The 16,859-nt window shown below is 39.9% G+C and overlaps 1 protein-coding gene across 13 annotated transcripts in view; it reads right to left on the reverse strand.

The window, feature by feature from the left end:
* Positions 1-16,859, reverse strand: part of MCCC1 (methylcrotonyl-CoA carboxylase subunit 1) — a 100,979-nt gene that overhangs the window by 40,212 nt on the left and 43,908 nt on the right. For all 13 annotated transcript variants that reach the window (NR_120639.2, NR_120640.2, XR_007095707.1 and 10 more), the window contains 3 exons: positions 15,781-15,928; positions 15,570-15,691; positions 1,882-1,993 (listed from right to left, as the gene is read on the reverse strand). Coding sequence is in view for 10 of the 13 variants with exons in the window: in XM_047448586.1 (XP_047304542.1) it covers positions 1,882-1,993; positions 15,570-15,691; positions 15,781-15,928 (382 nt within the window). In the remaining 3 variants the exon portion in view is untranslated. The remainder of the gene's footprint in view (positions 1-1,881; positions 1,994-15,569; positions 15,692-15,780; positions 15,929-16,859) is intronic.

Below are 16,859 nucleotides of genomic sequence, written 5' to 3' on the forward strand. Positions count from 1 at the left end.
TAATATTATATACTTCATCAAAAACTGTCCTATGATAGTTTAACTGTCAATATACCAAAGTTTAATGATTCTGCTACTAATTTCTATGCATTGCAGATATTACTCAGCATAATTACGTATCTTTGTCCCTTGTATCTACATGACAGCTTTCATAACTATATGTCCACTTATAATTATATGTTTCAGGCTGAGCACAGTGGCTCGGGCCTGTAATCCAAGTGCTTGGGAGGCTGAGGTTAAAGGATCACTTGAAGCCAGAAGTTTGAGACCAGCGTGGTCAACACAGTAAGACCCCATCTCTACAATACATTAAAAAAAAAATTAGCCAGGCATGGTGGCATGCACTTGTAGTCCCAAATACTCTGGAGGCTGAGGTGAGGATTGCTTGAGCCCAGGAGTTGGAGACTGCAGTGAGTTATGATCATGCCACTGCACTCCAGCCTGGATGACAAAGCGAGACCCTGTCTCAAAAAAACAAAACAAAACTATACGTATCAATATGGTAACTTTCAACAATCCTTATTTTGTTTCAGGATGATAAGCAATCTGAGTGATGTGCCTAATGATTATCTTAAAATAATGGGAAACCTTGAGATTCCAAGTTAATAAGAAAGGTACATTAAAATAAATGTATGTCTAGAAGTAAACAAAGTTTTTAACTTTTTAAAAACAGTGCTATACAGATATAAATTTAAGTAATCACGACTTGAAAATAAGGCTTTACTGCAATTTCTATTGACATTTAATATGTCAATATTCATGGCATAACATATTCTGGTATAATATATAATGTTATAATATATTCTACAACATAAGTTAAATATATTCTGCAACATAAATTAAAATTTGAATATGGTATAAGAAAAATGTATTGATTAACCAGAAACCTCTGATCCCTGACTTTTTGGAAATAAATATTTATTGAAAAAAAATCTATATAACGTTGAACAAGAACCCATGGCAGTAGCAACCTCCACAGAAATGTAAATCCAAAAATAGGTAGTCCTAGTAGTAGGCTTTGACCCAGATAATCACCTAAACCAATCAAGAGTAAGGCTCAAAGAGATATAAACAAATGTTAAATGAGCAAACGCTGCCAAACGAGAGACTCTCTCTTCTCTATAATATAACCAGTAAGGCAGGAAAATCTCTCACATATTTTGAGAACATCTGAAATGGTAATTAAAAAAGGCTTTTCCACAAAAAATAGATTCAATTAATCAGATCATTCCATTCCAGTAATTAATTCTAGTTCATTATAATTTTCTGTTTTTTTGTTTGAGACAAGAGTTTTGCTCTTGTTGCCCAGGCTGGAGTGCAATGGCGTGATCTCGGCTCACTGCAACCTCCGCCTCCCAGGTTCAAGCAATTCTCCTGCCTCAGCCTACCCAAGTAGCTGGGATTATAGGCATGCGCCACCAAGCCCGGCTAATTTTGTATTTTTAGTAGAGATGGGGGTTTCTCCATGTGGGTCAGGCTGGTCTTGAACTCCCAACCTCAGGTGATCCACCCACCTCGGCCTCCCAAAGGGCTGGGACTACAGGCGTGAGCCACCGCGCCTGGCCATTCATTACAATTTAAAATGTGCGTTGAAACCTCACTAGACAGCTTTTCGCTGTAAATCAGATAGGTGAATCAGAGTAGATTTTCCCATATTTTATCCAGAAGGAACATGACCCTGTTGTGTCTACCCCCAGAACATCAATCTCCTCCTCATCCCCAATACCACAGGAGGTCTTTTCACTACACTGCTATTAGGCAACAGTTGTCCAGCAGGAGTTTGAGGGGTGAGAGACACCAGATTCACAGATTTCTGATGTGAAAATCAGAGTAAGATTCACATTACGGAGAAGCTTACAAATTTCTTTCCAAGGTCCTTACCGCTGGGGCCTCCTCAATGATCTTCTGATGTCGCCTCTGCACACTACAGTCTCTTTCAAACAAGTACACAGCATTGCCATGGTGATCACCAAACACCTGGACTTCTACATGCCTATATAAAAGCAAACATGTATGTTAATATATTTGTTAGGGGTGATAAATATCACATTCGTTAAGCTAAACTGTTAGGCACAATCACCAGGATTTCTCCATTTTTACTTCCTTTAAGTAAGATCTGATATTTTGACCTCAAATTAGAGGTTATGGACTTAGAAAAAGAACCACAGGCCAAATGAGACGGCTCATGCCCGTAATCCCAGCACTTTGGGTGCCAAGGCAGGCAGAATGCTTGAGCCCAGGAGTTCAAGATGAGCCTGGGCAACATGGTGAAACCCCAATCTCTACAAAAAAACTAGCCAGGCATGGTAGCACATGCTTGTAGTCCCAGCTACTCAGGAGGCTGAGGTAGGAGGATCACCTGAGCCCAGAAGGTTGTGGTTGCAGTGAGCTGAGATTGTGCCACGGCATTCCAACCTGGGTGACAGAGTGAGAGACCCTGTCAAAACAAAGAAACTATAATCTTGTAAAACTCAATGAAAATGTTACCATTTGTAGGATGAATATTAAAGAGAAAAAATCTCTCTACATAAAATGGCAATTAAGACACTTCTCCAACCTAAAGGAGAATGAATGAATGAATGAATGAATAAATATTTTTAAAAGACAGAAAATAGAGACTAAAGTAGGGATACGTAACAAAAAGTACAAACTGTCAAAGAAAAGACTGACAAATTTGACTACATCAAAATTACAAATTATAGTCACTTCCTATATTGTCAAAAGACCAATGAAAAATTTTTTATGACTTTTTGTTTTTAAGCAACTCTTACAGTTAGATTTTATGAATATAGAAGACTGAAATTAAAATGGCTCATCCAGAAAAGTTAAATGTATTAAATTAATATGGACCATTAGTATCTCAGAAATACATGAACAATAAATCATAATAAAACCCAAAAAAGGGCCGGGCACAGTGCCTCACACTTATAAATCCCAGCACTTTGGGAGGCCAAGGCAGGAGGACTGCTTGAACCCAGGAGTTCAAGACCAGCCTGGGCAACATAGTGAGACTCTGTTTCTAAAAAAAATTTTTTTTTATAAATTAGCCAGGCATGGTGGTACATGCCTGTAGTCCTAGCCACTCAGGAGGCTCAGGCAGGAGGATTCCTCAAGCCCAGGAATTCAAGGTGGCAGTGAGCAGTGAGCTACGATTGCGCCACTGCATTCCAGCCTGGCTGATAAAGTCAGACCCCATCTCTAAGGAAAAAACAACAACAACCAACAAAGGTAATTACATGTTGATTATAAAATAGTAAAATTATGACAAATCATATTAAGAGTGAATGCACATAACTTTTGTGGAAATAAGGCTAATATGGACTATTTGGTGAACATGAAATTCTTCTCGGTAGGTTTGTGATATGGTCACACTGTAGTTCACTTCACCTATTTACCACCATAATACGCCATAATACAGAAGTGATCAGCAAATATGTTTTCCTGTTGATTTTTTAAAATAAAAACTGTCAAACATAGAAGAGACAAAAAATGCCAGGAAGTCTTATAAATGTATTGCTTCAGTACAATAGTTCATTTCTATTCTTGTTTACTTCATGAAGTATTTTATTTAACCACTTCAAAGAATTTGTCTTCTTGCTGGGCACGGTTGGTGCACACCTGTAATCCCAGCACTTTGGGAAGCCAAGGCAGGCAGATCACCTGAGGCCAGGAGTTCAAGACCAGCTGGGCAACATGGTGAAATCCTGTCTCTACTAAAAATACAAAAATTAGCCAGGTGTGGTGGCACACACCTGTAATCCCAGCTAATCAGGAGGCTGAGAGGCATGAGAATCACTTGAACCTGGGAGGCGGAGGCTGCAGTGGGCCGAGATCGTGCCACTGCACTCCAGCCTGGGTGACAGAGTGAAACTCCGTCTCAAAAATAAAAAGAATTTATCTTCTTGATATATCATCTTTTCTGAATGTTCCCATTTTGAATTTTCCAACCTGTCCAATACATTCTCTTAATAAAATTCTTGGAGCTGATTTTTTCTTTTTAGTTTTCTTGCCTTGTTGACTTTTCCTCTTTATCCACAAGCTATATAATCACCAAATACGTTATTGCCATTATTTTAAACAAACTGTTATCTGTTAAATCAATTCAAAATAGGAAAATATTCCTATGTTAGGATAGGAAAATATTTTACTTCTACCTATTCCTTCTCTAATTCTTTTCTATTATGTAGATCCAAGTTTCTGACCTAAAACATTTTATTTCACTCTAAAGAACATCTACTAATATGACCTGCAAGACAGGTCTACTGGTGACAAAGTCTCTTCATTTCTGTTTGTCTAAGAAAGTCTTTATTTCTCCTTCATACTTGAAGCATAATTTCACTGGATACAGAAGACTAGGTTAGTAGTTTTTCTCTGAACACTTTATATCTCACTCCACTCTCTTCTTGCATGGTTTCTGATAAGATTTCTTATTTTTATTCCTCTAGTATTTTCCTTCCTTGTGGCTTCTTTCAGTATTTTCTATTTGTCTTTCTTTTCCTGCATTTGAAGATGATGTGCATAGATGTATATATTTTGGTATTTATTCTTCTTGGTGTCCTCTGAGTTTCCTGGTTCTGTAGTTTTGCATCTGTCAACAACTTCGGAAAATTCTTGGCCATTACTACTTCAAATATCTCTCCTGCTGCTTTCTAATTCTTGTGGTATTCAAATAACGTGTTACATCCTTTTAAATTGTCCCACAGTTCTTGGATATTCTGTTCTCTCTTTTTTCTTTCATTTTTATTTCTCCTTGCATTTCCGTTTGGGAAAGTTCTATTTATCTATGTTCAGGATCACTGATTTTTGTTGTTGTTGTTGTTCACAAATTTGTATTTATTTGTCCCATCATAGTTGTACGAAATCTTTGTGGCCTTGCATAATCCACAATGGAAAGTTGAGGTCTGAGTGGCACATTCTAAACCTTACCTTTTACATAACAAAATTATAGGAAAAAGAGATACTTAAGAACAGAGGGGTAGATAAGTGAAATAATTACAGTATCTTCTTATTGCTAAGTATAGGAAGCAGACAGAACAAACGTGAGAAGAAAGCTATTGACATAACACAAATCAGCTATTTTGCTATACGACTGAAATCCTTTTCATTGTTTTTTCCATGTTTTCCAATATGTTTGCAAATACACTTATAGTTTTTTTTTATTATACTTTAATTTCTAGGGTACATGTGCACAACGTGCAGGTTTGTTACATATGTATACATGCGCCATGTTGGTGTGCTGCACCCATTAACTCGTCATTTACATTAGGTATATCTCCTAATGCTGTCCTTCCCCGCTCCCCCAACCCCACGACAGGCCCCGGTGTGTGATGTTCCCCTTCCTGTGTCCAAGTGTTCTCATTGTTCAATTCCCACCTATGAGTGAGAACATGCGGTGTTCCGTTTTTTTGTCCTTGCGACAGTTTGCTGAGAATGATGGTTTCCAGCTTTATCCATGTCCCTACAAAGGACATGAACTCATCCTTTTTTATGGCTGCGAGCATCTATTAATATTACGTAGGAGGCTCCCAACTAGTGCTGGGTGTACAGAGGTGAGCAGAGACAAAGTGCCTGCGCTCACTGAAGCCAATTCCATTCATCAGGGCAGAGCACTCAGGACCTAATAACCTGCCAAAGGCCCCAACCTCTTAATACTTGGGGATAGCGGGTTAGGTTTCAACATGTAAATTTTGGAGGGATACAAATATTTAGACCATTGCAACATGGTGGTAGGGTATGGGGGAGGGAAAGCATTCTATAAACTTGTGATTAAATCTCAAGTCTTTTAGTGGTCCTGTGTTTGTGCTGCGAAGTATTTCTAAGTTGTTTTTTTTCCCCCTCCCCTTAGGTGAAATGGGAAGACTAAAGGGGGTTGTGGTTGGCTAACTACCTTCCCCCTGAACAAAAAAGGTTCTGGCAACATCTCCCTTGGAGTTAGGATTTCTTCTGTTAGGGAGAATAGAATGCTCTGGATCTCTTTCAAATTGGTTACTTTTCCCCTCCCACTGCTGTAAAACATGAGGGATTTTTTTTTCTTGGATTTTTACTGTGGGAACTTGGTGAGGTTCCTGGAGGCAAAACCCATGAAAGTGGGAGGTCCCTCTAAGACAGGGCCCCAAGGAGTTTCTCACTTGCACACTGGCCCACACTTAGCCTCAGCCATTTTTCAAAATTCCCATGCAAGTGTTAGGGCTCCAGCAGGTAAACTGATCTGGCTGTGACTCACTATACTTGCATGCTTGTCCAGATTTTAGAGTGAAGGCTTGCCCCATGGCCTCAATTCTCTGATGGTTCTAAAACCACTGACTTTCATTTTGTTTAGCCTTTTTCTTGCTTTTTGGATATGACTGATAACTTTCAAGCTCTTTACATGTTGGAGCTGAAGTGTTTGTTTTTCTAATTCCAATTGTAAAGTTCTACCACGATATGGTTTGGCTGTGTCCACAAGCAAATTTCATCTTGAATTGTAGCTCCCATAATCCCCATGTGTGGTGGGAGGGACCCGGCGGGAGGTAACTGAATCATGGGGGCAGGTTTTTCCCGTGCTGTTCTTGTGATAGTAAAGTCTCACGAGATCTGATGGTCTTATAAAGAGCAGTTCCCCTGCACAGGCTCTCCTGCTTGCTGTCATGTAAGACACGCCTTTGCTTCTCCTTCACCTCCTGCCATGATTGTGAGGCCTCCCCAGCCATGTGGAACTGTGAGTCCATTAAACCTCTTTCCTTTATAAATTATCCAGTTGCAGGTATGTCTTTATTGACAGCATGAGAACAGACTAACACATACCACTTCTGACTCTCCCTCATCTTTTAGGTGCTCCAGGTAAGAGGAAACACTACAGCAGGGATTCCAGGTTATGAAGGGAATGTGTGGGGGCCACATCAAGAGCACAGAGCAATTCTTGCCTGAGTTTTGTTTTTTCAGTTTTTTTTTTTTTTTTTTTTTTGAGATGGAGTCTTGCTCTGTTGCCCAGGCTGGAGTGTAGTGGTGCAATCTCAGCTCACTGCAACCTCCACCTTCCAGGTTCAAGCGATTCTCCTGCCTCAGCCTCCCAAGTAGCTGCGACTACAGGCACACACCACCATGCCTGGCTAATTTTTTGTATTTCAGTAGAGACAGGGTTTCACCGTGTTGCCCAGGCTGGTCTCGAACTCCTGAGCTCAGGCAATCTGCCCGCCATGGCCTCCCAAAGTGCTGGGATTACAGGCGTGAGCCACTGTGCCCAGCCTTGTCTGAGGTCTTAGAAGTTGGAAACACTTTTCCTTTGGCTGCTTATAAGGGAAGTTCAGTGAAGATCTGTGTTCTGTTAGGATTTCTGTAGTCATTCAATCAGTCTTATTTACCTTTTTCTGATTGACCCTTTTCTGTGCAGCTTTATCTAACTTAGAGTTTCTGGAGCATAGTGTCTATAAGTGTCTGAGAACCAGGAGGTGCATCAAATCCCAGCTGCCCTAATTCAGCCACTGCCAGAGTACGGCCAGAGAGACAGACAGATGCAGTTGAGTCCTATCATGAGCGCCTTGATATTTTCTAAGAGTCCTAACATATCCATTTTCCTATTTACATTTTTTTTTTAAGACAGAGTCTTGCTCTGTCACCCAGGCTGTAGTGCAGTGGTGTGACCTAGGCTCACTACAAGCTCCGCCTCCTGGGTTCATGCCATTCTCCTGCCTCAGCCTCCCGAGTAGCTGGGACTACAGGCGTCCACCACCACACCTGGCTAATTTTTTGTATTTTTAGTAGAGACGGGGTTTCACTGTGTTAGCCAGATGGTCTTGATCTCCTGACCTCGTGATCTGCCCACCTCAGCCTCCCAAAGTGCTGTGATTACAGGCGTGAGCCACTGCGCCTGGCCCTATTTACATTTTTAATCCATCTAGAATATGTATTATATATGAACTGAGGAAGAAATCTGATTTGTTTTTTCTTCCAAAATAGTATACTTTAAAGGTGGTTTCTTATCCCAGTCTTTCAGATACACTAAATAGTTTTGATAAGATTTGTGTAATATCTTGATATTGACTCTTCTCAGTTATCAGCACTATTTTGACAATCTTCTGGCACTCCATTAGTTCAACAGGTAATTATTTAGCAGGACATAAAGAATACACAGTATGATTATCAGGATATTTAAATGTTATTACTAGAGGCTGTTCTCTCTATGGAGTAGCCATTCTTTATTCCTTTACTTTCTTAATAAACTTGCTTTCACTTTACTGTATGAACTCGCCCTGAATTCTTTCTTGTGTGAGATCCAAGAATCCTCTCTTGGGGTCTGGATCAGGACCCCCGTCTGGTAACATCTTTCTGGTGACCACAGAAGGGACAATACTAAGGAAATCCCGACCCAAAGCGGTGGGGTCTGGTAACGTCTTTCTGATGAACTACGGAAGGGACGATACTGCGGAGACCCTCCAACCCAAAGACTGCAGCACTGATTGGCCAACTTTGGGTAAGCGGGGTGCATACACCCGGGCAAAGGATAGGATTGGGTTACAGGCCCAACTTGGTGGAGTTAAAGTCTCTCCTAAGACAGAGTGGGTTAAAGACCCCTCTCAATAAAAGGCAAGGATGCTTGACTGAACTTGGGTTTGAAGCCCAACTTAGGAAGGTTAGATTCCTTCCTAAGATTTAGGGGCTCCTCTCAGTAAAATCCCTCTCGGCTAAGAATGGGTTTGGCACTATGGATGTTAACTGCTATTCTGTTTGAATTAATCTGCCTTGCACTCTTTGCTGACGGCGGTCGGTGATAGGATTAGGCATGTACAGGATGGTGGGACATGGGGAGCTTTTACCTCCCTAAAAGGAGAAACTTGAGAGCTGATGGGACTGCTAGAAAAGATCCCCCTTTTTTTTTTAATTCCAAGTGATAACTCTGTATTCCCACAAGTGGTATATATCGTAAATATTAAAATGATCATTGTTTTTAGTTGGTAGACATCGACAAGTAGGAAAATTTGCGAGGTCCGAGAGGGACTGCAGGAAACGCCTCCCTTCCTGGCTTCCCTCGCTCCAGGAGACGCTTGGTGGGCACCCAGGAAGCTCCGTAAAGGCTTCTGGGACGGGCAGAAGCCCCGCGCCCCTGCCTGCACCCCGCGCGCCTGCTCATGGCACGCCACCAGCACGGGCCAGGCGCACAAGTGCAGCACCAGCGGGCTGCACGCCAGCTCCCCGGTTCGCCGGCTGCGGTACGCCTCCTGCGCGTTGCCGAAGTCCACTGCGGGCACCGGCGGCCACACTGCCTCGGCCGACCCACGTCCTGGCATGGCTGCTGGGCCCACGGCAGGCTGTTCGCGGGCAGCCGGCTCCGTGGACAGCAGGGCGAAGCGGGTAATGTAGGGGTGCAGCACCGGCAGGAGGCGCCTCAGAGCCATGGTGGGCAAAAGATCCCTTCTTAACTGACAAGTGGCCACCTGAACTTTTTATTTAGTGTCGGTTGCAATGGGCGGGTCTTTCTCTGGTCTCTCTGAGCACCTTGCTTTCCCCATCCTGCCACAAAGCAATGCTTTTCTCCCTTCCCTTCCCTTTCTCTCTCTGTGCAAACTGGTTGAATGAATGGCAAAAATCACTGTTTATCTCCTCTGTAAAGTTTTGATTAATAAAAAAAGGATTTGTGAGGCTAGTCTTAAGCTGTAGTGAATCTGGTGTGCTTTGCATGTCTTTCTGAATTGTTCTGTCATAGAGATGGATACCTTAGGATAAAACACAGGCTTAGAACACCATAAGCCCACTGTTTAAGATGGCCCAGCAAACTAGTCAGTTATAAACTTTGCTGCAGGTCCCTGAAAAAAAAAAAACTGGATGAGGTTTCCCCTCTTGTCTTGTATGTCCTTGGGAGCTTGACCTTGTAACCATGTGGCCTAGCTTTGTCTTTTCACAATGGTATACCGGGTTCAGGATTCAGTTCCTGGCTTAGGGAATGAGTCCTTTTCTTCTGTTTGTCTGTGTATTTATATGTGTTGTGTGTGTGATATGAAAGAGCTTTGGTTAACTGGTTTAAAAATAAGTGCTTATATCAAATATTTTGTCGGAAAAGTAAAAAGTATAATGCCTTTAATTTATGTGATTTAAGTAATCTTTGAGAAATTGAAACAATTCTACATGTAAGGTGTGTAAGGAAAGTGAAATGCGTTTTTTTTGTTTTGTTTTGTTTTGTTTTTGAAATGCGTTTTTGGTAAAAGATTATAAGAAGGCACAGGAATGTGGATTTTTTTTGTCTAGATTAAAAAGTTAAAGGATTGTTTTAAGTTAAATAAGATAATGCTTAAGGTTTAAGCAAGTTGTGGAAGGTTTGTAAAAAATTAATCTTGTAAAAGAAATTCTGTGTGTGAACATATTGTCTAAAGTTAAAGGGGTATTCAGTTTTTCTGTAAATTGAACATTGGAATAAAAGCACAACAGGTTCTTCTTAAGGCACTGATCTGCTCTTTAACAAAAATTTGTAAAGGGTTATAAAAGGTTTATGAGAACCTCACCTTATGGTCAAACATTAAAATTGGGTAGATATGTCTATAAGGTTTTATTGAAAATTGGGTTTAACATTAATAGTACAGTTATGTAAAGGTGAAATTTGGCTTATTTGGCATAAGAGTCATACAGGAAGCAGTGTCAAATGTGAAATAGTGTTTAGCTTTCTTTGGGCTATATTTATATAAATATGTTGTTAGTATGTGTTCCAAAATAATGGGAAACTCCTATAATTCTGATATGACTTAGTGTACATTATCAGTATAATTATAACTGTTACATAAAACCATTGTATGCAACAGAGGTAACCAAATTTCTTTGTCAATTGTGTTTTTAACTGTGGCTGCCCTAAAACTTTTTGCCATCCACAGACAATTGTCTTGTTTTGATCCTCTTCAAAAGGAGATTTATTATTATTATTATTACTTTGAGACTGAGTCTCACTCTGTCGCCCAAGCTGGAGTGCAGTGGCACAATCTCAGTTCACTGCAACCTCCGCCTCCCAGGTTCAAGTGATTCTCGTGCCTCAGCCTCCCAAGTAGCTGGGATTACAGGTGCATGCCACCATGCCTGGCTAATTTTTGTATTTTTATTACAGACAGGGTTTCACCATGTTGGTCAGGCTGGTCTCAAACTCCAGGTCAAGTGATCCACTTGCATCAGTCTCCCAAAGTGCTGGGATTACAGGCATGAGCCACCAAGCCCCAAAAGGTGATTTATAATCAACTATACAACTCTAATAGGTGTTCTTGAATGCAGGTTTCATTTAACTTTGGAGATTGTGACATTAGAAAAGGGAAAAAGAAACTTTCAGGACTCTCATGGAAAGTTGAAATGTTCATGTATATCAAGCAAAACAGGAGTTAACTGTACAGACTAAACTAACAGAAGTCTGAAGTAATCTTTTTTGACTTTTTGCTTAAAACATTGCTGATCCTCTGTTTTGTTCTTCAGAGTAAAGGAAACTTTTCTTTTAAGCTATTGACAGCTTTTTAAACAATTAAGTAATGTGCACACTCATAAACAAAATTTGGAGCATATTTGTTTCTCTCTATCTGATTTCTCCAGAATTTGGAAATTATTTGTGACTATCTTAACTTACGGCAATATAGTTATTTGCATAAATGCAATAAGAATCTGCTTTCTTTTGCAATGGGACACAACTGGAGAAACTGGTTATTTTACCAAGGCTTTGACTGGAATGGCATGCTTTCCTTTAAGGAATCAAACTTGACTTGTAAAGCCAATAAAAGCCCCTGGGGAAAACTGGCCTCATTCCTTGTCTACACAGTCTCTATATAGGGTTCCTAACCTGTAGTAAGTAAAGAATGTCACTTTCTGAAAGACTCAGGAGCCCCAAGTTATCGTGAGACCTCAAGAGGAGAAAAATTTACCCAACTCATAGGTATTTGAGGGTATAAACCCATGGCTGGGCTGGGCTTAAATACAAAAAAGGTCTTCTCTGACATTCCTTATGGAAGAGTTATATCAAAACCAATTTTAAAAGCCTGTATGGCAAATAATTATTCTTGCTGCACTTTGTACAAATAATCAGGCCATGTATAATAAAGCAAATCAGTCTTACCATGATTTGTCTTTAGTAAAAATGGGAAACCGGAGAGAGAAAAATTATGTTTCAAGAACTATGGCACATTTGTTATTAAATTTTGGTCTCATCAGTTGTTTTTGAGATTTCCTACAATTTAGACTAACCCTGCTTATTCCTGTGGACCAACCAGTGATCCCTGGATGCTGCTCAGAAGAAACAGGAGGGACTGGTAATGCAAATATCTGAATCAATATTCTAATCCTGGGCATGTATTGGAATCACCTAGCAACCTCATATCGGCTTGGTTCCAACAGTTGCCCAGTTAGTGGAAAGCCTTCTAACTTAGTTAACTTGGGATAATCTTGCTTACTTTGCTCTACTGTTGTGGAATATATTACTGTTATACTCTTTGTGTAGAAATGCAGGATAAGCTTACCAAATTTTTTTTTAAAAACACATAGTAATCTTCCAGATATCACCTTTTGTTGGAACTCATGAGTTATGAGTGGCCCTCAACATACCGATGCTTTCTAACTAAGCTCCTCTCTCTATACTGAACACAAGAGATCCTAATAGTTAGGCAGGAATATCATCACCCCATTCAGCCTGAAGAAGTTACAGAAGATGGATCTTTGTCCCTCTGCAACCCTTAGGATTAAGCGTGCTCTTACAAAAGGGAAAAGGGAAATGTCAGAGGCATTTGAACCAGAGCAACTCCCATCTTGAATAGGAGCTGGGTAAAATAAGGCTAAGACCTGCTGGGCTGCATTCCCAGTAGCAAGTTAAGGCATTTTTAATCACAAGAAGAGATAGAAGGTCAGCAAAAGATACAGGTCATACGGACCTTGCAGATAAAACAGGTTGCAGTAAAGACGTTGGCTAAATCCCACTAAAACCAAGATGGTAACAACAGTGACCTCTGGTCGTCTTCACTGCTACACTCCCACCAGCACCATGACAGTTTGCAAATGCCATGGCAACGTCAGGAAGTTACCCTATATGGTCTAAAAAGGGGAGGCAAGAATACTCCACCCCTTGTTTAGCATATCATCAAGAAATAACCATAAAAATGGCAACCAGCAGCCCTTGGGGCTGCTCTGTCTATGGAGTAGCCATTCTTTATTCCTTTACTTTCTTAATAAACTTGCTTTCAATTAAAAAGAAGTTATTACTAGAAATACAGAATAGAAATAGAGTCACACAATGTGCCACACAATGACATTCCATCAATGCCAGACTGCATATAGGATGGTGATTTCATAAGATTATGATAGAGCTGAAAAATTCCTATCATTTAGTGACATAATAGCACAATACATTACCTTTCCTATGTTTTGAGATGTTTAGATACACAAATACTTACCATTGTGTTACAAATGCCTACAGTATTCAATACAGTAACGTTTGTACAGGTTTGTAGCTCAGGAGCAATAGGCTATACCATAGCTTAGGTGTGTAGTTGACTATACTATCTCAGTTTGTGTAAGGACACTCTATGATGTGTGCACAACAATGAAATTGCCTAACAATGCATTTCTCAGAATGTATCTCTGTCATTAAGCAACACATGACTGTATATAAGAATATTAATAATAATTAGGAGAATACAATTATGGGTTGTTTTCCATCTTCTGCATTTTCCAAAAATTTGTAATGTATTCATATTACTTCTATAGTTCAAAAAATATTACTGATGCCTATTACAAGGAAAGTAGTATGCCAGGCAATATATACAAAAAATAAAAATGTATATACTACCAGGTCTTTGATTCCCAGGGGCTTTCCAGCTATTGGGGGAATAAATTATAATGTGACGCAATGTATGGCTAACATTTCATAAGTAAAGAACTTACATATTCAAAAAATGCTGCAGGCATGGAGTTACATAATAACTCAAATAAGCTATTGATGTCTCTGAAATAAGTTACTGAAATAAGCTATTGATGTCTCCACAATTCTAACTTAAGAGCATGCTGATTTGGATGGCTAGCCTATTCTTTCTTGAAAGGAAGCCTTCAATGTACCTTAGAAATGCCCCCCCCTTTTTTTTTGCCTTAATTGAATTTCATTTACTATGCCATGCTCAGGACAGTTGTTTTATAGGGCCTGAAACAAAAAACAATTTGGGGGTCTTCTCTAAGGAGAAGAATACAAAACTGCAAATACAAAATTAGGTCAGGGTCTTGGAAGAGATTAATGTCAAAGAAGGGCCTGAAGTTTCAAGTCTGTTACCTTCAAGGTAAATCTCTTTCCAGTCATGGTTCCCAAATAAATTATTCTTTTCACTTGACTTACAGGTCACACACATATATATATAAAATTTAACAATTGTCATAAAAATCTATGAAATGAGAAACTTTATAATCAGCATCTTAAACAACAAACATGAAAATAAAATTCCAGAAAAAAAAATAGGGATTCACACTGCATTTGCTATAGTGGTACCCAGAGAAGTAGCTTAGTGCAGTGGCTTAGATATGAACTCTGGAGTCAAAGTGCCTGGGTTCAAATCTCAGCTTTACTACTTAACAGCTGAGTGACCTCAGAAAAGTAACACAACACAACCATTCTGTTGCTTAGTGTCCTCACCTGTAAAATGAAAACAGTACTTACCTAATGAGGTTGTTGTAAGAATTATATTAGAATTAGAAGGACAGCAAGATTATTTAGCATGTGTAAAATATTTAAAATCTGGCACATGGTAAGTGCAATGTAAGTGTTAGCTCCTATTAACAGCATATCACTTGTAATTCAATTTAGAAAATTACTTCCATTTCCTGAGCATCTCAACTGACAGAGTTCTATAAATATAGCTGAATTTATTACAATAATTTGCTAATATTGAAAAAAAACCCTAAATTTCATCAACAAGAAACATACTGAATGAATTAATGGTATATCAAGATCATAGAACCGCTAGGTCACCAACAAAAAGAATGAGGCTGATCTACAATTACTGACATGGAAAGATGTCTGTGATATAATATTAGTGTATAAGATTCTATTCACTGGCCGGGCACAGTGGCTCACGCCTGTAATCCCAGCACTTTGGGAGGCTGAGGCAGGTGGATCACGAGGTCAGGAGTTTGAGACCTGCCTGACCAACATGGGAAAACCCCATCTCTACTAAAAACACAAAAATTAGCCAGGCATGGTGGGGCATACCTGTAATTCCAGCTACTTAGGAGGCTGAGGCAGGACAATCGCTTGAACTCGGGAGGCAGAGGTTGCAATGAGCCGAGATCGTGCCACTGCACTCCAGCCTGGGCAACTGAATGAGAGACTCCGTCCAAAAAAAAAAAAAAATTCTATTCACTGTTCTTAGGTATGTATTTTGTTTGCTGTATGTATATGTATATAGGTTTCTATTCACATAGAAAATGGCTGGAAGAATGCATACCATCCTACAATCAGTGGTTACATCACAGGACAGAACTGGGAAACTTGTAATAATATACTTATATACTACTACAGTTTTATATTTTATAGAATGTGCATGCATTATTTTTATAATTTAATTTTTAAACTCTGAGTCAGAAAAATAAGGCCAACCCACCTCGGTGTGTCTACAAACTTCTCGATCAGCATAGCATCATCATTGAAAGACTTCTTAGCTTCTCTCCGTGCTGACTCTAACTGTTCTTGAAATTCTTGTTCTGATCTAACAATCCTCATTCCCTAAGAGAGAAAAGATGATTATGACTACAACATAAATAAAACAAAGAAGACAAGCCTGAATTGGCAAACACAAGCATGCACAATCTTACTTTTCCTCCTCCACCCCGGACGGCTTTAATCATGACAGGATAGCCAATTCTCCTGGCGTGTTCCTTCAGGCACTGGTCTGATTGGTCCTCACCATGATAACCCTCCACAACAGGTACTCCAGCAGCAGCCATTATGGATTTGGATGTGCTTTAGAGTGGGAAAGAAAACAACATGCCCCAAATTCTACAAATTATTTCATTCAAGACAAACATAAATATAGCCCAGTCTATAAATTACAATGGAACTCTTTAAAGAAAACATCGAGTCTGAGACGACAAAATAATACAAATTTAATATGTCTATTAGTTAGTTTCCCTCATTTCATGTGGTAGCTCATCTCACCCTATTTTTTAATCCCAAAATACTAATATATTGATTAGAAACATTAAGTATTTTCTGTAACTCAATAGAATTTCTCTATGTCACAGATAAATAACTTATGCCTATGACAACAGAAGGGTAGAATTAAAATATTATAGGTAAAACAAACTATTTCTTTTTTTTTTTTAGAGACAGGGTCTCACAATGTTGCCCATGCCAGAGTGCAGTGGTGCAATTATACTTCACTACAGCCTTAAACTTCTGAGCTCAAGTGATCCTTCTGCCTCAGCCTCCTAAGCAGCTGGGACTACAGGTGTGTGTCACCATACCCAGCTGAATTTTTTTTTTTTTTTTTGAGATGGGGTCTTACTCTGTCACCCAGACTGAAGTATGATGGTGTGATCACAGCTCACTGCAGCCTTGATCTCCTGGGCTCAAGCAATCCTCCCACCTCAGCCTCCCAAGATGCTGGACCCACAGGCACGTGCCACCATGCCTGGAATTTTTAAAAAATTTTGTAGAGACAGGGTCTCCCTGTGTTGCCCAGGCTGGTCTTAAACTTCTGGGCTCAAGTGATCCTCCCACCTTGGCCTCCCAAAGTGCTGGGATTACAGGTGTGAGCCACTGTGCCCAGGCCTGGCTGATTTAAAAAAAAGAATTTTGAGAGACAAGGTCTCACTAAGTTGCCCAGGCTGGTCTTGAATTCCTGGCCTCAAGCTATCCTCCTGCCTCAGTCTCCCAAAACACTGGTATTACA

The sequence above is a fragment of the Homo sapiens genome, chromosome 3 (genome assembly GCF_000001405.40).
Source record: "Homo sapiens chromosome 3, GRCh38.p14 Primary Assembly".
Lineage (NCBI taxonomy): Eukaryota > Metazoa > Chordata > Mammalia > Primates > Hominidae > Homo > Homo sapiens.